Here is a 24218-nt window from a genome sequence, read left to right on the forward strand (position 1 = left end):
CTTCAGGTCACATAGCTGTAGCGAAAACATAGTTGCTGATACACAACAAGATGACCTCCTGGCTGTGATTCACGGTGAGTCAAGCCAAACAGGTTTTTTTCCCCCTCATGATAAACTTAGATGTAAAGTTCGAGACACAACATAAACTGTCGCAAATAAATTGTTTTGATGCTTTGACACATGGGTATAGAATGAGGAAGAAATATATATCTTCATCCAACAACTGTTTACCCATCTCAACCCTGTGTATGGAATCGTCTTTTTTTCACAGTATTTATTGCCACCATTTCAGATGCGAACATCCTTCAGAATTCAGATTCGGGCATTTCTTTCTGTTCATTTTTATTTCTTGTTGGTCTGTGTACTGACCCAAGTTTTAGGTTTTACAGTTACAGTTCACACTGGCAACATTGAGAATGTGTTTGTTAAATAGGGAGTGCTTTTCACTAAGTTAAGCAACAATGGACAGTGTATTTTGTAGTTGTTTCAGAAGAAATTGATGCCCACATTTTTATCCACTTTTTTGACCAGGAGTCCATTATAGCAATAGTATATGTTAGAGCAGTGATAGTGACGTACGCATTGCATTCTGACTCGCCACTGGTGACATCTTTAGGTACAGAGGACAGCAACTTTTAGAGCCTGCCAGTTTTTTATTTTCAAATTCTAAATCTGTGGATCACCTGTTATTTTTTGTGCCATTTAAAGGTCATCTCATTGTAAAACATACAGTTAACAATCAGCATCAGCATTTATTAAGTAATAATGTTTTCTTGTTTGAAGGTAGCGCAATTACACATTGTTTTATATAAATACCCTAATTTTGAAGCCTTAGCATCTTTACCATACCTTGCATACTTATTAATGACGAAGTAATATTGGTTCACATTTGGATCAGAAAATGCACATCTTCCAAGGAAGTTTTCAAATTCTATTTCCTTCTTTCCTAGTTGTGAGAATTTTTCACATGATTTTGCACATACAAGAGCTTTTTAAATTTCATTGTGTTTTTTTAAGAGATGGGGATCTCACTATATTGCCCATGCTGATCTTGAACTCCTGGCCTCCAGAAAGTCTGGGATTACAGACACAAGTCACCATACCCAACTAACAATAGCTTAAGCTGTATAATTTGTCCACAGTAAGTGGATATTCAAAGAAATATGAACATTATTTGTAAATACCACCCTTGGCAGTTCTCATCAATCACCATGCTGAACTAGTGTATTTGATTTATATTTATAATATGGCGTGTGTCCAAATCTTTTTAGTATTTATTGGTTATTAGTTTATAGAATTGTTGAGTAAAAAAAAAAATTACTTACATAGAATTGATATCAAACATGTGACAAATTGATATTTTGGAAAAGAAATTGGGGATGACACACCATCACATCTCTGTGTGTTCATTTTTGGCTTCCCTTTCTGATATCAGGAAAATCGACTTACACAAATCTTCTTTCCATTAATCACACATTCAGACCAATCCCTCAAACCTTAGGGGTGATTATTTTGATTGATTCCCTACTTTTCCTCCTCCTTTACCTACCTCCTTGATTAGAAGCCAATTCTAGGTTAGATGTGCCGCCTGCCGTATGAACAGTTACACCATCTTCTTTGATGTCATCAGTATAGAATTCTTATTTGAATCTTTCATGTTCCAACAAATGAAGATGTATACTAACTTTTGGCCTTTCTTCTTAAGCTCACTGAAGTATTAATATAATTTTCCTGTACCTATAGATGGTGGCAGGCCATAGAGTTGTGTGGAACCTCAGATAAGTCTGCTGTAGTGTAGTAGAGGGTACAAGCAGGGGAACAGCTTCTAAGGCAGTGTCTTAGAATCACCTGTGGGACGTTTTCAGACTGTCATCACTTCTATAAATGGAGAGATGTTGAATCCCTCAGATCGGTTGGGGTGGAAAGAAGACTGAGGACCACTGATGTTCTGGCCTGTCCTTATTCAAGGAAGGATCCAGAGGCCTGGAGTGGAGGAGTGCTTTGTCCAAAGATAATCTCTTTTTTTTTTTGAGATGGAGTCTTGCTATGTTTCCCAGGCTGGAGTGCAGTGGCATGATCTCGGCTCACTGCAACCTCTGCCTCCTGGGTTCAAGCAATTCTCCTGCCTCAGCCTCCTGAGTAGCTGGGACTACAGGCGCATGCTGCCATGCCCCGCTGATTTTTTGTATTTTAGTAGAGATGGGGTTTCACCGTGTTGCCTAGGCTGGTCTCGAACTCCTGAGCTCAGGCAATCCACCTACCTCGGCCTCCCAAGGTGCTAGGATTATAGGTGTGAGCCACCACACCCGGCCAATAATCTCTTAATTGGCTTGGCTATTTGAGAGTGTTAAAAAGTTCATGATTTCACATTTCTTCACTATGAAAAAGAATAAAGATGATTGGATTAAAATTATATGTAAAGACAGAGCATGGAGATATCAATGCTTAAAATATATTTTTATAGTAGAATAAACTAACTATACTAGAATATACTAAATGATTTAATGCTCTGATTTAGTGTGCCAGTTTTGCATTCCAGCTCATAAATTTACACACCCATGCCCTATTTTTAAATAACAGTGAAAGATGTTATCGCAGTCACCTAAATCATTAAAAGAAAAAAAGTTTGAACAAAGTCTAAGGAAAGATACCTAAAACATGTCTGAAAAGAGGAGGACAGTTTTTCACCTAGGTATCTATTTTCTAGAAGTAATTTCTAAGTTGTTTCTTCTATCAATACTATTTTCATTACTTGAAACACTTTTTTTGGGGAGGATTATTTTTTAAATTACAGGTGTTAATATCCCAATACCAAATGTTTTGAAAACTAAAGGGCAAAAAAAAGGAAATCCTAAAACAGTCATTGTCATCATCATAGATTTTATTTGATAAAGAATTTGAGGTAATGAACATCATACTAGCATTATGTGATGTGATGTGATGTGATGTGATAAGTTTATTTACATTTTTGTCTTTTGAAAAGTGAGGCAATAGAGTTCCGTTTTACAAACATAGCAACTCAGAGAACTATTCCTTAGTGTGTAATTCTGGCCCCCAAATGGAACATTAGTTGTTTTTGTTTTTTAATAATCAATGTAATCTGAAACATATATAGAGAGACATAGATTAAAATCAAATTTGATAAATGTTTGAGCTGCTGAATTTTTTTGATTTGTAGAATTTTATGTTAAACTGTTTATGTCAGTCTAGAAAACTTTAGGATACTTAACCCAGCCCTCTATGGACGGAGCATCAAATGGAAGAAGGAGGTCTGAGTTTTTTTTGTTTTTAGACAGGGTCTCACTTTGTCACCCAGGCTGGAATGCGGTGGCACAATCTCGGTTTTCTGTGACCTCTGCCTCTGAGGCTCAAGTGACCCTCCCACCTCAGCCTCCTGAGTAGCTGGGACTACAGGCCTGCATCACCACACCTGGCTAATTTTTGTATTTTCAGTAGAGATGGGTTTTCACCATGTTGGCCAGGCTAGTCTCGAACTCCTGACCTCAGGTGATCCACCCGCCTCAGCCTCCCAAAGTGCTGGGATTACAGGCGTGAACCACCTCACGCAGCCAAAGGTCTGGTTTTTATTCCTGGCTGTGTGGCTTACTAGCTTCGTACAATGAGGCTAGTACATATTTTCCATACATTTCCATACAATGGATATGTATGGATATCCATACATATGAGGCTGCTGATCTCAAAAACCAGGGTGTTTGTAATCGTTACTCTGCCTTCTAAGTACTTGACATATATTAATTGACTTAATTCTTAGTATACCCAAGAGGTAGAAACAGTGTTATTTCCATTTTACAGATGATGATACTAAGGCAGGGAAATATTGAGTAGTTTACTCATGATCACATTATCTAGTAAGTGACAATGCTACGATTCCAAAACAAACAGTTGGCTTCAATTCCACATTCCTTTTTTTTTTTTTCAGTCTTAGAATCTTTTATTTAATACCTTCTCATGCCCAGTTAACACAAAAATAGTTGCAGTTACATATCGCTACTGAAAGCTACCAAACTGCCTATCTGAAGAGAGAGTCAAGGATCCTTCTCTTCCACTTCTTAGGAGAGAATGATAGTTTTTGGATGTTGAAGAGAGCATTCACTGAGATTACTGAACTCACCAGATATACTATAAAGCTTTCTGTCTAATGTAGCCAGTAGCCACATGGAAACAAATTGGGTATGAAAATTTAGTTTTCAACCTTGAGCTTTATGAAATCTAAATATAGATCAAATATTGCTGACGAAAATTTAGTATCCAAATTGAGATGTGCTGAAGTGTAAAATATGTACTGGAATTTGAAGACCTAGTATACAAATCTAAATAATTGTTACTAATGAGATATTTATAAACATTTTTATATTGATTAAATTTTGAAATGATGACATTTTGGATAAGCCACCTAGTCAGGCTAAGACTCATTTTCTTTCTCTGTAAAATGAAGGAGTAAACGATATCAGAGTACTACTTGCCTTATTCTGTCTTTACATTCAGGTTCTAGAAACCAGACCATGGGCAGAGCATTTTCCTCCTTGTTCAGCAGAGCAAATTTGTGGGCTTTTAAAGATGGTAACATTGTTTCTTAAATCACTTTCCATAATTTAATATCAGTAATCTGTTTATAGAAGAGAACAGCCACATTCCCTGACAAAGTTTTGTATGACTTTACTTTTTATTTTGCTTTTAAGCTTGGCTGTAATATTATTACTGAACCTGTGACACTTCACTTAAAATGTCAAATCCTTTAGTGGAGAGAGTGTTATTTCCTTGTCTTAATCTTTTTATATGCCAATGATTGTGCCCCCTAGGATAGCAAATAAAATCTGTCAATAAACTGACTGAACAATGCTATCCAATAGAAATACAATGTGAGCTACATTTTAATTTTAAATTTCCTAGTAGCCACGTTTTTAAAACGGGAAGTAGAAGCAAGCAAAATTAAATTTAATGTGTCTTATGTAATTCCATATTCTTAACCACTTCAGTACATAGCTTCTCTTATCCACATGAACTCGTATCTATTGTACTTAAACTGGAAGACATAGAGTCAAATGGGTTTATGGGATATAAGTGCTTTGCAAACTGGAATGTTCTATACAAATGTAAAGTGGTGTTATAATTAAGACCTTGGCATATTTGATCATTTTCACTGACACATTGCTCAAATGTGTTGATTGTGCTTCGCAAATCTCTGCTCCAAAGTAACACATGCTGAGATCGTTTAACATTGTAAATCAGTAATATAACTTTGATCATCTTTGTTTCATCACTTTGAATTTCTCTCCTCCAAAAGGATTTTGAAACATTGGTTGTAGTTCATAAATGCTCTGTCAAAAGTATCATTGCATTGTGAAGTTTTTATTTGAGATAACTTTTTGAATTGACAGAGTCATTTAGTTCCTGTAGTGGTTTTGAGTAGTAAACTGTTCATATTATGAGATTAAATCCAAGACTCCAGTTCTTTCTAGAAAGAATGATACAACTTAAAGAAGCACGGTATTTATGCATTTTGGGATAAATGGTTTTCCTTGAGATGAGAGCGAGATAGTGTTCTTTCTCTAATAAGCCACGATGTAAATTTTTTTTTAAATCTTTGTAATTAAGCTCAGTCTTTCTTTTGTCCTTGATACTGTATTTTTCTTTCTTCATCGCAATAGAGGTATAAAAAAATGAGGTAACCTATGACAGTTAAAAAGTTCTGAGATTTCTTCTCTGTGGAAATAAATAGCCTAGAACTAAATAAAGCTGTTTATGCCTATTTTAAGAAGCCAGGCACATATGAAAACCAAACCTAGCAGGATGTGGGATTGCCTCCAGGAAAGCAAAATAGCGTCCTTACTCGCTTTAGTTCCCTGAAATACGCATAGAAAACATATGGGCCCTTTATTTTCATTTAATGAGTGCTACTAATAGAAATGATAAACCTAATATTTAGCCATAAAACTGAGTTAATGGTCATCTACTAATGTAATAGTCCCTGCCTTTTTAATAGTGAATAAACTGATTACATTGAATTAACAACAGGAATTGAGATACTTATCCTCTCTCCTCTCCTGTGAAATGCTGGAATAAATGATACTAGAATATATAATATGACCATATTTGCAGTTTGGGAATTGGAGGGGTAGGTCCTCAGGCCACCTTAGCACATGTGTCTGAAGGCAGGACAGGTTTTATTTCTGGCCCATCTTGGTCTTGATGGTCTCTGAGAAGCTAAGGTTTTTCTGTGCTTAATTTGGTTCTGAGATGAATCTGTGAAGGTTCAGTTTCACACATTAGACAATAACAGGCTGTTGTGTTCCAGGATTGTCCTTAGTATGGGGAGGAAGCTGCTATCTAGAAGCATACAGTCTAGTGCTGTCCATTCCACCATCATGCTCTGCATCCTCTTGTCTTACCTCTTTCTGGATGTATTTCCCACTGTCCTCTATTCATATGGTCCCGTTTGTATGGCTCATCTCTTTTAGTGACACCACAGTTCTTATTTAGATTCCTGGGTTTTTTTTCAGACTTAAGAAACTTCTCCAGTGGGGGTGAGCTGAGGAGTTGGTTCCTTCACCTTAAGCTTCCTCAGATAATAATCTGATTGTTCTCATTCTAGGTGGCCACCCTCCTTATGCGAGCAGAGTTTGGGAGTAGTATGGTTGGATTGTCTAGAGAAAACCAAGTGGACCTAACAAATGGTCTGGGTTCATTTTTCTTCTCTTCTCTTAAACCAGGAAATCTCTGGCTTGTGTTTTTGCTTCTCCCAAATTTTGCTGTATTTTGTTTTCACTTAAATTTAAAGATATTTTCTAGTTTTCCTTTTTATCTCTTCTTTGACCCTTGGATTATTTAGAAATACGTTATTTATTTGCCATATGTTTGGAGATTTTACAGATAGCTTTCTGTTGTTGATTTCTAATTCCATTATGGTCAGAGAACAAATTCTATTATTATTTGACTCCTTTTAAATTGTGGGTACTTGTTTTTTTTGGTTTTTTTTTTGTTTTTTTTTTTTTGAGATGAAGTTTGCTCTTGTCGCCCAGGCTGGAGTACAGTGGCGCGATCTCGGCTCACTGCAACCTCTGCTTCCTGGGTTCAAGCAATTCTCCTGCCTCAGTCTCCCAAGTAGCTGGGATTACAGGCGCCCACCACCACACCCAGCTAATTTTTTGTATTTTTAGTAGAGACAAGGTTTCACCATGTTGGTCAGGCTGGTCTTAAACTTCTGACCTCAGGTGATCCACCTGCCTTAGCCTCCCAAGTGGGGACTTGTTTTATGACCCAGCCTTTTCAGGTGCTCAACAGCACTTTTGAATGAATGATGGTTAATAGTTTGTAGACTTCATTTTGGTATTTTCCAGTTGGTATCTATTGACTGTAGGTTATTTCTAAGAAATGGATGCCAAACTAAGGTGTACACCTTCCCAGTATCTTTTTTTTTCTCTTTTATGAGTTTCCAAACAGTTTAGTGAATAATAAACATCCACTTTTTAAAATGGAATAGAAAATATTAGTGCTTTGCATATAGTAAGGGTGTTGTTTCATGAAATTTGTTTTAGTGTGTGTGTGTGTACTAGGTTGTAATGTAAAATCTTTTTCATATTATAAATTGCTGTAAGGAAAGCTGGAAAATCACTGTTCCATAACATAAGATCCTTAGGTAAAATTAATGTTAAAAATACATGCCATACAACCATACATATACATGTATACATATATAGGGAGAGCAAATGAATACATATACACATACACAGAGACACACAAATATATTGATACACATATACACATAATGTAAACTGTTCTAGCCTTGGAAACGTTTGCATTTGATACAGACCGTATGCATTGTTTTCTTCTACAAGTAGCAGCATTTTAGTGACTGATGTACAACCATAATATTCAAGAATAATACTGGATGATACTAACAGAGAGTAGAGAATTTATTATGAAACACTCAAGTGCCCACTATATGCCAGTTATTAGGTATAGAGCTGTAAGAAGCAATATTTAATAACAAATATTTGGTAGGTATTGGTAGGCATGTTCATGTTTTACACACGTTTTAATAAATAGGCAGCTAGGTTTTCTCTCTTTTTTCTTCCATCTTTTTTTGGTTACTGTAAAGTAAATAGTAAGTTTTGATAATGGAGCACTCAAAATGCTCCATTTGCATATTTTATGTGAAAATTCTATTTATTTAAGTTGTGTATAATTTCCTGTAAAGTTTTTCTTGACTCTCAGAGTGTCTTTAAACACAACGCTCCTGAAAGCTTATGAAATAGTATTCGTTTCTAACCTTTTATATGATATAAGCTCCTGAGAAAAGATAAGAATTCCTTCTCATTCCTTCACTTATCACACTTTTGTTTCTCTGGAGCATAGCTAAAAATGTGCAAATGGCCTTAATACAGTACTGGAGCATTGTTTGCTTCAGTGTTGGTTGAAAATAATGTGCTCTAGCTGTTACAGTGTTGAGGTGAGTATTGAATTGGGGTGGGAAGAGTGCTGGAGTAGAAGTCAGATGGTCTGTCCCTTTGTCCTAGTTTGGCTTTGTGACCTTGGCCAGGAGACTCAGTCTTTATACTCCTCACTTGGAAACTTAATGGATTGAACTTGATACTTTCTGTCATCTCTTCTGAATCATAATTTTAGGCAAACCTAAATAATGTATTTGCTGTTTTTTTTTTTGCAGCAAACAACAGTGATCACAAAAACAAACACTGAGCTTTGGCACTGTGCTATGGAGCTATATTAGACTTGACTTAAAATTCCATTTACTTTGAAATATCAGATTTGAAATAAATGTTGACATCTCTTAATGTATAAGGTCAATAAATCTTATTCTCTAACTAAAGAGCAATTATTTATGATGCAAATAAAATGTATTTCTATTATTGCACTGGTAACATAACGTGGTTCTCTAATTCCATTTAGCTTTTCTCTATTTGTTAGCTTTTGTACTTAAGATTGTTTTATCCACATATTTAGACAACTGCCATACACAGCTGCACAGCTGCCTTATAGGTAATAGTTTTTTTGTTTTTTTTTTTTTTAATGACAAAGTCTGGCTCTGTCACCCAGGCTGGACTGCAGTGGCATGATCTCAGCTCACTGCAACCTCCACCTCCTGCGTTTAGGGGATTCTCATGTCTCAGCCCCCTGAGTAGCTGGGTCTACAGGTGTGCACTACCATGCCTGGCTAATTTTTGTATTTTTAATAGAGACAGGGTTTTGCCATGTTGTCCAGGCTGGTCTCGAACTCCTGACTTCAAGTGATCCACCCGCCTTGGCCTCCCAAAGTGCTGGGATTACAGGTGAGAGCCATGGTGCCCAGCCTATGTAATAGATTTTTAAGATTCAGTGCTGGGCACGTGGCTCATGCCTGTAATCCCAGAACTTTGGGAGACCGAGGCAGAAGAAACACTTGAGCCCAGGAGTTTGAGACCATCCTGGGCAACATAGTGAGATCCCATTTATTTTAAAAAAAAAATTAAAAAATAGCTCAGCATCGTGGCACGTGCCTGTAGTCTCAGCTACTTGGGAGGCTGAGGTGGGAGGATCACTTGAGCCCAGGAATTCAAGATTACAGTGAGCTGTGATTGTGCCACTGCACTTCAGCTTGTATGACAGCAAGACCCTGTCTCAAAAGATTCAAGTTAATGCATTTATCAAACACCTTCTGATACAAGGCATATATTAAATGCAGTAAGGAGATGCTAGTTATGTAGAAAAACAGGTATCACCATTATCTAAGAAATTTAAAATTAATAAGTGTAAGAAAAGTCCTGTAACAACTAGATGGATTTAGGAAAGTACCAAACAGAAAATACAATATATTTAAACAGGAAGGGAGTCAAAGATGGGAGAGGCCAAATTTATTTGGGAAAATCAGGAAAAACTGTGGAGAAGATGGAATTTGATATAGGTTGGGAAGACTGGATAGCATTTTGAAAGACTTAGGGGAGCCAGGCTTGTAGAGGAAGCTACGGAAATGAAGACACTAGAATATGCTTGGCTTATTTGGGAAGGAGCAGATAATCCTGCTTTTGGGAATCGTTCAGAAACAGTAGACCATAAAGCTTCATATTGTAGACAACCTTGAAGGCCTGTGCTGAGAAATATGTACTTAATGCAGAAGATTGGGGAAGCCATTGAAGGTTTTTGAGTAATAGGAGCTAATACTTTTTTTTTTTTTTTTTTTAGACGGAGTCTCACTCTGTCACCCAGGCTGGAGTGCAGTGGTACAATCTTTGCTCACTGCAACCTCTGCCTCCCAGGTTCAAGCAATTTTCCTGCCTCAGCCTCCCAAGTAGCTGGGACTACAGGCGTGCACCACCATGCCCGGCTAATTTTTGTATTTTTTAGTAGAGACTGGGTTTCACCATGTTGGTCAGGCTGGTCTCGAACCCCTGACCTCAAATGATCTGCCCGCCTCAGACTCCCGAAGTGCTGGGATTACAGGCGTGAGCCACCATACCCGGCCGGAATGAACACTCTTAATCATAGGCATCCTTGCCCTCATCAAACTCAAGATTGTTTACTGTTTGTCATTATAATTTTGATTAATGTCATGAAAAGGGATGCATGGAGTATTCTAGGAATATAGCAGGGACCCATTGAAGGTTTCAGGGAAAACCTGAAGGCAATGATGTTTAAGATGAGACAAGAAAGTAAAAGTAAAGTAGATAAAATGAAAGAATGAGGGAGAAAGTGTGTTTTGGGGAGGGGAGGTGATTAAGTATCTTCTGCCGAAAAGGAAGCCATGTTTGCAACTAAAGGCAAGATTAAAAGTCATGGCTGGTGCAGAGAGCACTGGGGAAAAGTGTTGCAGATATGACGCTAGAAAGAAGTCACGTCTTGGAAGGTCTGGCAAGTCATTTTAAGGACTTATAAGTCTTACATGAAGGTGAATGGAAAACATCGAAGAGGTTTGACATGGCTCTTCAAGAAGATGATTTTGGCAGCAGTGTATAGGTAGAAAAATAGGAGGACAGTAGGTAAGTTAAGATATTGCACTTAAGTGAGATCCAAAGAGGGTCTAAGCTACAGTGTTAGCAGAGGACATTGAAAAGAGGGATATATGACAAAAATTACAGGGTGTTTGTACCACCTGGCCCTTTTGAGTTGGTGTGATCCATCTATGCCTACACCTTCTTGGCCTTTCAAGTCAAGTATCACAGGCTCCCTGGTCTAGGCAATCTCTTCAGATTCCTCCTTCTGTTATCCAGTCTGGTCCCAGATATTAAGATTGTCTGCCTGGCTGGAACCTTTGGGTTCTTATCCTAAACTACCTCTCCTCTGGCTTATATCAGACTCTTCTACACGTTGGACCTCAGCTGTCCTATTTGATGGGCCTTCTGGGACCCTTTCAGAGGGAGGGATCTAGACAGAAGGAGAATCTGAACAATTTGGTACTTTTCAAATTGTGAAGGAGTGGGATGTGAAGAGAAGAATTAGATGGTAACTCCAAGGTTTAGAGTTTGAATTACTAGAACGAATAAATGCATTTTTACTGTAAGCCTTCATAAAACAGATTCAAATACAGCTTTTACTTGGCTACTTTGGATTTGTCTAAAATCGATTTTTATTTATGTAATTCCTCTGATGGAAATATTATATGTAGAGAGTGTGATCAAGAGTCCGCCATCTAAACAGGAAGCCATGTTTGAAAGTAGAGGCAAGATAGCATTTTGGGAAATTGAATCATTATGCCTGGTGCAGAGAAAACTGGGGGAAAGTGGTTGAGATGTGAGGCACTGAGTAAATAATGTCTGTAATTCTGACCTCAAGCTTTTATTCTAAATTACACTCTTTTTTTTTTTTTTTTTTTTGCCCCGAGACGGAGTTTTGCTCTTTTTGCCCAGGCTGGAGTGCAATGGCACAATCTCGGCTTGCTGCAACCTCCGCCTCCTGGGTTCAAGCGATTCTTCTGCCTCAGCCTCTCAAGTAGCTGGGATTACAGACATGTGCCACCAAGCCTGGCTAATTTTTTATATTTTTAGTAGAGACGAGATTTCACCATGTTGGCCAGGCTGGTCTCGAACTCCTGACCTCAGGTGATCTCCCCGCCTTGGCCTCCCAAAGTGCTGGGATTATAGGCATGAACCACCGTTCCCGGCCCTAAATTACACTCTTCATAGTTCACATTCAATATATATGACTGATGTGGCAAAGTCACATATTATTGCTTTCTTCATCTTCCTTTTTTGTGGCAGTTGGCTGCATTATTATTTTTTAAATAAACAGCTTTTGCCAGAGAGACTTGATCCAAGGAAACAGCAAAGCAGATAGGACCAGTTTGTTGAAGTGAGTTTGGTTCCTATAACTTCATTAATTGGATGTGTCAGCATTTTGAAGTCTTCCAGGAAGAATCTACATGGTTTAAAATGCAAATGTACTTTAATTCACAGGCTTAAAGAGGTTCTGTATTTGGAGACATTTCTGATGATCGTTTGACATCTTTCTATTGAAATAGCTCTAGTCAACTGGATAAGGAGATCAGGGCCTGAACTGTAAGCCCATGAAATGTTTATTTACAGACAAACCAAATACAGCTTATATATCCTTTTAGAGGCAACATGAAAAATGCAATCCAGTAAGAATCACTGTCTTGTTTTAGGAATTTTGAGGTAAAGATTGTTGTGTCATGTTAATTAATTGCCAGTTGAGCCAGGAGTTTTGAAATAATGCTTTCACAGGCTTTGGACTCAATAATTTAAATTTTGGGCTGTAAGTCAGCCGCTTGCATGGACTGTTTAATGTCCTTTACACACAACCAGTGGGGTATGTATTATATCTATTATGGAGATTTAGATCTTCTGACTGTTGAAGCTAGAAAACAACAAAGCATTTTTAGTCTGGTCAGCGTAATTTTTTAGGGAATATTTACTGCATTGCGTCATATTAAGTTTTATGGTAAATATGGCAGTTCTCACTTGTTTGCTTTTATTCTCCTCTCTTCAGATTGGCCTGTTACCCTTCTGGGAGCCAGGAGATTAATGCAGGCCCCTTCTCTTACATTCCCTTCTTTGTTTCCTTTTATTTGTTTACTTTGTTTGAATTAGGCTGCCTCATCTACTTTTAGATTTTAAGTCCCCTAGAGGCAGGGATTGTGTCTAGGTTGGTTTTATGGAGAACACTCAGCATATTGTGGGGGTGTTATAAACATGCCATCTGTGGCAATTTAAAATTCAGTTTCAGACCTTTCAGTACTTTTCTTTGTGTCTCGTTGTTTATAGAAATCTGAACTAGAATAGAGGTGCTTAGCAATGTAAGGCTATATAAATCCATTAAATATACATTTTTGTGGCTTTATTGTAAGTGCTTTTATAGTTCTAGTCATGATATAAAGGCACTATCCTTTAATTTACTGATCATTAATATCTTATATTTTTATTTTAAAATTTAGATACTTCTAGCTAGTTTTTTTATTTGAATATTAATCACATTAGAATAGAAAATTGCTTCATTGGCACAGACTACTTTTTTGTGGAACATACTTTCACCAGTTTGATGATATTTATTGCTTGATCTGTTTAGGTATAGGGTTGACTTGTTCTAAGCTTATTTTTGTCTCAAAGGGGAAGAAGGAAATAGAATCAACAATGCATTTCAATTTTAGATTAAAAGTCACTGGAAATGAAACCGAAATACACAAAATATATGTATACTCACACAGTGTGCTTCTATAATGAATTCTTTTCATATACAGATTTATTACTAGTCTTATTATTTGATAGCCATCTTTTCCATTATATGAATTCTATAGATCCTTGCCCTTTTTTTTATGTTATCATTATGTTATTCGTTGTGGCAAAATACATTTTAAAAGTTACAATGTAAACTTTTTGTTTCAGTTATACAGACATAAGTATACAGCTTGACCAATTTTTACAAAGTGAACAAACCTGTGAAACCAGCACCCAGCTCAAGAAATAGTATTACAAGGACCCTAGAAACCCTTTCTTCTCCCTTCTTAGCTTTACCTCTGTCGTCAAGGTAAATCACTATTCTAATCTCTATCACCGTACATTACTGTAGCCTGTTTTTGAACGTTATTTAAGGGGAATCATACAGTATGTATCTTTTGTCTCTGGCTGCTTTTGCTCACCATATTTGTAAGATTCATCTATATTGTTGCCTGGAGCTGTAAGTTCATTCATTCTTACTGCATGAATATGCTTCGAGTTGTTCGTTCTACTGTTGGTGGACTTTGGGTTGCTTCTGGTTCGTTCTACTGTTGGTGGACATTGAGTTGCTTCTGGTTTGGGGCTATTACAAATAATGGCACTTTGGCATGCATATTCACTTTTCTGTTGGGTATATACTTAGCAGTAGAAATGCTAGGTCATAGAGTATTTCCGTGTTTGCCATTAGTGGTTACTATCAGTTTTCCTCTTCCACCAGGAGTTCCAGAGTTCCATTTGCTTCAAATCTTTGCCAACACTTGTACTCTCTTCTATTTCATTTAAATCATTGTGTTGGATATGTAGTGGCATAGCATTTTGGTTTAAATTTGCATATCCTTGATGACTAATGAAACTGAGCCCCTTCTGATATATATATATGTGTATTGGCCATTTGGGTAGCTTCTTTTGCAAAGTGCCTGTTTATGTTTAAGCTGCTTTTTAAAAAGTTGATCTGTAGGAATATCTTTTACATATTCTGAATGAGCCTTTTGTCAGATACATGTAATATTGCAAATATTTTCTCTCACTTTGTGGCTTGTCTCTTCACACTTTTAATGTGCCTTTTGGTGAACAGATGTTCTTAATTTTAATCAAGTCCAAATTTTTCATTTTTTCTTTTATTGTTAGTGCTCTTTGTGTCCTGTTAAATCTCTGCCTTTATGGGGTTTTAAAAAGCTTTATTATTTTAGCTTTCACACTTAAACCTACAGTCTATTTAGGATTGATTTTTGTATAGTCATGCATTGTGTAATGACAGGGATAATTTCTGAGAAATGCATCGTTAGGCAATTTTGTCATTGTGCAAACATCATCGAGTGTACTTACACAAACCTAGATGGTACAGCCTACTATACATCTAGGCTATATAGTGTAGTCTGTTGCTCCTAGGCTAGAAACCTATACAGCATGTTACCGTGCTGATACTGTAGGCAATTGTAACACAGTGGGAAATATTTGTGCATTTAAATATAGCTACTCATTAAAAAGGTACAGTAAAAATATAGTATAAAAGAGAAAAAATGGTATGCCTGTATAGGGCACTTACCATAAATGGAGTTCGCAGGACTGGAAGTTGTTCTGGGTAAGTCAGCGAGTAAGTGGTGAGTGAATGTGAAGGCCTTGGGCATTACTGTACACTGCCGTAGACTTTATAAACACTGTACATACACTTAGTATATACACATTTATATGAAAAATATTTTTCTTTCTTCAATAATAAATTAAACTTAGCTTACTGTAACTCTTTGTTTATAAACTTTATTTTTTTAACTTTTTGACTCTTTTGTAATAGCACTTTGCTTAAAACACAAAACACATTATATGGCTATATAAAAATATTTCCTTTTTAATATCCTTGTTCTATAAGCTTCTATTTTAATTTTTTTCACATTTTTTTCACTTTTTAAGCTTTTTTGTTAAAAACTAAGACACAAACCCACACATTAGCCTAGGCTTACACAGGGTCAGGATACTCAGTATCACTGTCTTCCACCTCTACACCTCCACATTTTGTCCCACTGGAAGGTCTTCAGGGACAGCATGGAGTTGTCGTCTCCTCTGATAACAGTCCCTTCTTCTGGAATATCTACTGAAGAACCTGCCTGAGTCTGTTTTACCGTTCTTTTTTTATTTTATAAGTAGAAAGAGTACATGCTGACATAATGATTAAAAGTACAATGTAGTAAATACATGAACCAGTAACATAGTTGTGGATTATCACTGTCATTTATTATGCACCATACACAGTTGTATGTGCTATACTTTTATAGGACTGGTAACACAGTAGATTTGTTTACACCAGCATCACTAAAGCATATGAGTAAGACATTGCAGTGCGATGTTAGGATGGCTACAAGGTCATTAGGTGATAGGAATTTTTCATCTCCATTATAATTTTATGTGACCACTATATATGCAATCAGTTGATTGAGACATTATGTGGCACGTAACTGTATATTATTTGAGGTAGGGGGATCAAGGTTGTTTTTTCCTCATATGGATACCTAATTGACCCAGCACCATCTATTGAAAAAAAACTTTCCCTCTACTAGAAATGTCATTGTTTTCACTTTTTAATTTTTGAGTTCTGGGTTTCACATTTCTTTTTTTTCTTTCCATTTTCAACACATTGTCACAGTAGCTAAAGGTGAAATAAGTACTCTTGGTCCCATTCAGATGCCAAACACCATCACTTTTGCTTCCACATCAAAAGTGGAAGCACTTTTGTTTGCCTGAGACAGTGATGATATGCTAAGTTAGGTTTAAAGGATATGTTTATTTCCTATGTGCAACTTTCTGTATTAAGGCTTTGCAGAGCTCCCAGGGAGCAACACTCACTTTGGGGCCTGTGTGAATGGTGTCCTTTGTTGTCAGTGGCACACGGTCTGTGTGGCAAGATGGCAGCAGCCCTGAGTCCTACTTGTAATAACTGGCAAATTAAAAAAAAAATCATGGATGTGGCGATATGTGCCTGGAATCCCAACCACTTGGGGAGGGTAGGGCGGGAGGATTGCTTGAGCGCAGGAGTTTGAGTCCAGCCTGGGCAACATAAGGAGACCCCCATCTCTTAAATCGAAAAAAAAAATTACTATTTCTATGCCCCCAGCAATCTACCATTTCACAAATAGGGGTACTAAAGTGTGCCCCAAGTTTAAAGAGATGGATAGGAAGTAAACTCTGAGGCAATCCTTGTGACTTTTCAGAATTTACCAGGTCTTATCACCTTACTTTTTAATATTTCATATATCAGTTTCTATTTTTGATTTAGAAGGTAGTTTACATCAGTTATTTTTACTAGTTCCTTATTTTTGATTTAGAAGGTAGTTTACATCAGTTATTTTTACTAGTTCCTTACTAGATCACTCTTCTGTCCTAGGATAAACTTTCTTTCCAGGGTTCCCTGCAGTATTCTAAACTTTAGTGACACATTCAGAAGGGGACCCTTGAGACTTATAGCTACTCTTGTATTTCCTTGGAGGTACAACTTCTGTAGCTACTTTTAAGTTTCTAAGAACCTAGAGGACCTCTTTGCTATAACTTTTAAGCTACATCTTGTAAAAATATTGTTTCCACAAATGAGTAAGTTCTCCTTTAATTTCATGCCCCAGTTTAATCATCAACAATGTGCCTGACCAGTGATTTATGAGGATTTTTATTAGCATCATAATCTGATACTATTGCATTAAATCTTTAATGCCTTGGAGGGGTATAGTTGGGATGAAAGTATAAAATCTGAATAATGCCTGTTAGAAAGGATGTAGAAGTACTTAATAAATTTCTACATTTAGCCCATCTGGTTAAGTTAACCATGGAATAAACAAACAAACAAAATCTCTGTCCACGCCACAGACTGCAGCTTGTCTGTGGGCAGCTCTGTCACTAAGGATTGCCAGTGGTTAGAAGACGACTTACTTTGAGATGAGGTCAGCTCAGCACAAACCCCTAACTCCCCTTGGAAAGCAACCCATAGCTGTGTCCTGAAAGTAGGTCAATACCATCCTAAATAAACAATAAGGAATGTTTAGAGCTTTGAGATCTTCTGAACTAGAGAAATGGAAACAAAAATTTAACAAGAATTTTGTGTGGCTTTGGATACTTTGCTAGAATATATAATACATTCTGTAAATTGAAAATAGTTGTGACAATGGCATAATATCTTAGTAATTAATATTCTTTTGATATTCATTTTTGTGTTTCACATGTTATTTAAAAGCTCACCATAGTGTTTTCAAGTGACCTGCACTATTCTAACACCTGTTATACTTTTTACCGTATGCAATCTGCATATCTATATAAAAGAATAATTTATTTTGATTTGATTCTCTAATCACTTGCATTTGTAAAATATTGAAATTTGAGATATTTATCTTCTACTGATGAAATTTTTCTTTAAATTTTATTGCTGATTCAAATAATACCAAACACCTTATGTGAAAGGCATTGTGCTAAGTATTATGGCGGGATCCATAAATAAAGTGCATAAAATTCTTAGTTTTAAAAAACATTCCGGTAGAAGAGGAACAGATGGGGGAAAGTTAGCATTTATTAAGCATCTATTATACATGTCGGGTATTAAGCTAGGTGCTTTACCTATGTATTTTTATACATGGGTATGAAATTTTAATTCTCAGTACAGTTCTTAAAGGTAACCAGAGATGTCCCCATATTACATACGGCACACTTGAGACTCAAAGAGGTTAAGTAAATTGCCCAAGGTCACACAGCTAGTAATTGGACTTTGAAAAGATAGCATTAAGGAAAGCAGGTAAAATTTGATCATGGGAGATGAAAGGAAGGTTATTTTAGAAGAAAGAAAATTATAAGGGCCAGAAAACTTAACTGTGTCTAGGAAACATCCAAGTAGTCAGGTTATACCTGCAGTTCTTAAACTTTTTGGTCTCAGTACCCCTTTAATTTTTTTTTTTTTGGTTGCCACTGAACAAATTAACCTTTAATATTATTAAGTATTGTAGAATCCAAAGAATTGTTTGTTTCTGTGGGTTATTTGTATTATCATTTACCATATGAGAGATTAGAACAATTTAAATATTTGGCCGGGCTCAGTGGCTTACACCTGTAATCCCAGCACTTTGGGAAGCTGAGGCAGGAGTTCAAGACCAGCCTGGCCAATATATAGTGAAACCCCTTTTCTACTAAAAAATACAAAAACTAGCTGGGCGTGGTGGTACATGCCTGTAGTCCCAGCTACTTGAGAAGCTGAGGCAGGAGAATCACTTGAACCTGGGTGGTGGAGGTTGCAGTGAGCTGAGATAGTACCACTGTACTCCAGCCTGGGCGACAGAGCAAGACTCCATCTCTCAAATAAATAAGTAAATAAATAATAGAAAATAAAACATCTTAAATAGTAAATAATTTAAGAATAACAAATCCACTGCATTAACATAAATAACATTTTTTTGTGAAAAATAACTATATTTTCCAAACAAAAAAGTAGAGTGGCATTGTTTTATGTTTTCAAATCTCGTTATAGTCAAGCTTACAGATGACAGCTGGATTCTCACATATGCTTATGCATTAATCTGTTAAAATACCACATGTCATTAAGCCTCTGGAAAACTCTACTATATACTCATGAGATATTGAGAATGAAAAGATAGATAACATCTGAGTTTTATTATGAAATTAATTTTGATCTCATAGACTTCCTGAAAGTGTTTTAGAAAACCCAAGGGGGTTCTTTGGAGAATCACTGGGCAAGTTTGTGAAGGGGAACCCAAATAAGAGTGTAGGTTTGGGACTAGATAATGAAAAGATGTTCACTGGGGGAATTTGGTCTTTACTAAGCAATGGGGAGCCACTGAAATAAAGTAGAAGAGTGAAATAAAAGGAGCTGTGCTTTTAGAAGATTTTTTTTATTGCAAGTAATGCCTAGAGTATCGGAAGCAGTTACAATTGAACTGTAATTGATATTTGAGGTAACTGTGGGAAGCAACGTAATGGGTTTTGAGGAAGAATATAAATATAGTACATCTGATTAAATACAAAGGACAGACAAAGAGGAAAGTCAAAACAGTGCTAAGATTTTGAGCCTTATGACTGGTTGGCTTATGTCCCATTAACAGGCATGGGGAGTACAGGAAAATAATTAAGCTTGGGAAAGAAAGTAGGGAATTAAGTTTTAGATTGTATATAAAAAGTTTTACCTCTAACATTTTGAAATAATTTTGTCTTACAAAAAAGTTGTTAAAATAATAAGGTTCATATATATCCTTAACCTAACTTCCCCTAATACAACTTATATAACCACTGTGCAGTTAAACAAGGAAAGCAACCTTGGTATCACGCTATTAACTACACACATAATTCAAATCTCACCAGTTTTTTTTCACTAATGCCTTCTTCCTGTTACAAGATCCAATCTGGGATCCCACACTGGATTTAATTGTTGGGTCTTCTTAGTAGCTATCCTCCAATCTGTGACAGTACCTCAGTCTTTCTTTCATTGTCTTATAAAACATTTTTAATGAAAAGAGAAGATGCTTAATATATATGTAGAGGAAAAAAAACCAATGCCATTTTATCTCTTTTTTTATATTTATGTATTTATTTATTACCTCCATTCTCTCAGAGTGGGATATTTTATCTTTTAAAATGCTTAAGAACCTGAATAAAAATCTTTATTTTTCTTTAAAAAGTTACAAAAGTATTATAAAAAATTAAATGGTGTAGAAAACATAAAGAAGTAGCAACCCAGTAGTATCTCCCAGAGATAACTACCATTAACAATTTGTTGTGTATCCTTTTATTTATTTATTTTTGCCTAGAATTTATATGTATATTATGAGATCATAATGGGCATACTGTCCTGTAACTTGTGTTTTTCATTCAATTGTATATTACGTTCACTTAACATTTTTCAATGTCAATATATATAGATCTGTTTCACTGTTTTAAATAGCTACTCAGTATTTCATAATATGGCTGTATTATTTCATGAAGCCATTCTCTTATTGATGGACCTTTAGGTTATTTCAGTTTTCATACTTATACAAGATGCTGCAGTAAATATCCTTATATATGTATCTTTAGCTACCAGGGCAGTAATTTCTATGAGGTGAAATTGCTGGGTCAGAGACCATATCCATTTTCTACTTTTGCAGTTATTACCAAATTTCCCTCCAAAAGACTGTATCAACTTATCCTCCCTCCAACAGTGAGTGACATGCTTATTTCCCAACAAAGCTGTGGATGGAAGTATTGTAATTGACAATGGTTTGGTCCAGGTATGGTCTTGTGGGTGCTTAACTATACATTGCTCGCTCTCTTTTTTCCTACAAATCATTGCTTTGCTTTTGTAACACACATATGTAGATAAAATACTTAATGAAAATATTGAATGCTTTTAAATCCTTTGTCTTTGAGATCTTTTAATGCAGCATGTGATAAAGACAAAAGCATGGCCATGAAGAGTTCTTGGCAGGAAGCCTGGGGGGCTTATGAAATCGTTATTGGGAGGCTATTTATAGGGTGCATCTTAGATTTCTAGGTAGTGGTGGAATAGGAAGAAATATTCAAGAAGTGGGAATCTGGGGTATATAAATTGTTCTCAAGAGGGACTTCTATTAGAGTGAGGAATGTGGAGTTAAGTCCTGGCTCTTCAGAGGTTCCTATGGTCTTGAGCAAGTTGTCTAATTCAGTGTTAATTCTTACTTGGTGAGTAGGGGAGAAGGGCAAGGGAAGAGAGTACTAATCCTAACATATCCGTTTGGAATAACATAAAAATCCTTAAATTATCTTTAATACCCCATATGTAGTAGTGGTGCTAAAAGCAGATAACTAAGAATGTCAGTTATAGCAGAGAAAGCATAGATCAGGTAGTAAGGCAGTTCCAGAAAAACTTAGAGTAATCTAAATCAAAAGAAAGAATTCAACAAATAAAAGTGATCCTTGATTTTGTCTGTCATCTAAAAGTACACTGGCTGCTGCACAGACTAAGCAAAAAAAGTGGGGTTTTTGTTTGTCTAGTTGTAGTTTCTATTTGTTTTATATTTTCACCTCATTAACACATCTCAAAATTTTCCAAAATATCTTCATTTTTCTTTTTTCAAATTTAAAGTCTGTATTTTTGTGGACCAGAGTGGGAATGTGTTGTACCTTTTGTTTTCTGTAGGTCATTCTATCTGCACATACGCATCCTAGTTTCAGTTACGTATTTCTGAAAAAATAACAGGACGTATTTCCAGACACATGGATTGACAAAGGGATAGAACATTAGGAATCTAGACCCTCCTAAAAAGTGTAGGTTATGTAAGTCTCCTCCCCAAAGCATTACTGTAATTATTTGTGACAAATAATGATCCATGTGAATATTAAGGATGTTTGATATACTATCAGCTGCCTCTTTCCTATGTGGATGAGCTGTAATAAAGTGACAGCTTAAGAACTCGGCCTTTTCAGGTGTGTGTTAGATTTTCTCTCTCTTCCTTAGCCCTAACTTCTAACAGAGGAGGTAGAATTAGTGCATCAAAAATAATAATAATAACAAGATAACCTTTGTTTTTATATATAATATAATATTTTAAAGGGTTTTGAAGAACAGCCTGACATGTGAAATTTGAATATGGTTCAAGGCTGTTCCAACTAAAATAAGGTTTTCATTTTTCTTGTTAATAAAGAAAATCAGTATGTATTTGTGCATATGTATGATTTATTCACATACACATTATCTCTGTAAAATATGTACATGCAAGTCATTAACAATTTTTTAAAACTACAGAGACTATCATTTTCTGATTAACTAGTTTGCTAGTTAAAATGAGGGCAAAGAAGTCCCATTTACACTAATGTTTAGAAAATTCAACATGATGAATAATTACAGAGGCAATCTCCTAAAAGCCCAAATTAGAAAACTGTTACAAGGCACAGCCCTTCTAAAATGGGGCTGTGATTTGGGAACTGTTCCTCCCTCAGTCATTTAAACTATTTTAATAATTGTATTCTGCTGCTAGAGAATTGGAAGGCTGTCAGTTCCCTTTATTTGAATGCTTACTATGTGCCAGAGACTGTGCTGTACACTTGACATGTATCATTTCACTTGGTTGTCATAGAAACTGTGGATGGAGGTAGTGCCACTTGAAAACTGAGCTTTGGAGAGAGAAAAAAAGATTTTTCCCAAGATCATGTGGGAAGTGAGTGGTGGCACCCAGACTTGAACTTCAAAGCCTTGCTGCTTTTACCCAGCATAGTTAAGTCAAAGTCTGAAATCTGTTTCCTTATTGCTTTTTCTTTTTCTTTTTTTTTTTAAATGCGGTCTTGCTCTGTCACCCAGGCTGGAGTGCAGAGGCCCAATCATAGTTTACTGCAGCCTCGAACTCCTGGGTTCAGGCGACCCTCCTGCCTCAGCCTCCCAAGTAATTGGAATTACAGGCATGAATCAGCCTGCTTGGTCCGTTATTGCTTAACTGTAACATGGACCAAAGAAGCAGCTAACCCTGTTAGTTAATTCTTACTAGGAAGAGAAACCGCACCAGCTATTTAAAAAAAAAAAAAAAAAAAGCAAAACAAAAATGAAAATACCAAGGTATACTGGAAAATAACATTGAGCTTAGAAGGAGACCTGAGTTTGTACCTGGCTCAGTCACCCAGCTCATTTATCACTTTCTTAGGAAGGCCTTTCCCTGTCACACCCTCCTTCTTGTTTGTCTCTATTAGAGCACTGAACTCATTGCCATAATTACCTTATTGCAGTGATTCTAAGGTGGACATCTTTCACATTTTAACTTTTCTAAAGTGTGGATGCATTTTACAATTGATGGTGTTTTAAAATAAATTGGCAGCATTTTTTCTTAATTATTGGTACTTAAAATAAGGATGTGCTGTACAGTTGATGACATCTTAGATTTGATTAAGTGCATATTTATTTTTGTGTGTTCCCACAAAAATGTTTACATCATTCTCATGGTTTTAAATATCAGATATATGCAATGATTTTCCAATTTCTATCCTTTTTTAAGGTCCACCCCTGTATGTTGAACCACATTGTTTCTTCATATCACAAGGATTACAGATTCAACATATCTACTCTCCAAATCAGTTTGTCTTCTATTGTTCTCTATCTCAGTGAATGGCATCCACATTCGTACATTTGTGGAACTAAAACATGAGATGATCGCCCACCTGGGTTTGAATCCCAGTTCCGCCCTATAGTAGTTACTCAAGCATGCAGTGAAGTATGTCACCTTAACTATTCACTTGTAAAATGGGGAACATAATAACACCTATCTCTGAGGATTGTTAGAATGACTAAGACATTGAATAAATGTTAGCTGTCCCTAATCTTCATCATACATATCTATGACTTCTCTCCTTCCTCTGCACATGTAATTCATCAACTCCTGTGATAGATAGGCCCTTCAGAGTATCTCACATCTACCACTTCTATCTTGTTGCCACTTCTCCAATCTAAGCCCCCATTTTTCTTGCCTATGCAGCAACTAATATTGTAGCTTCTCCTCTTTCCCATGTCTAATCCAGTCACAACCATCCATTAAATCAGAACATGCCACTTCTTAAGAC

The 24218-nt window shown here is 36.3% G+C and overlaps 1 protein-coding gene across 2 annotated transcripts in view; it reads left to right on the plus strand.

Annotated features, from left to right (window-relative positions):
* Positions 1 to 24218, plus strand: part of UBE2D1 (ubiquitin conjugating enzyme E2 D1) — a 35743-nt gene that overhangs the window by 829 nt on the left and 10696 nt on the right. The gene's annotated exons all lie outside the window — the stretch shown is intronic.

The sequence above is a fragment of the Homo sapiens genome, chromosome 10, assembly GCF_000001405.40.
Source record: "Homo sapiens chromosome 10, GRCh38.p14 Primary Assembly".
NCBI lineage: Eukaryota > Metazoa > Chordata > Mammalia > Primates > Hominidae > Homo > Homo sapiens.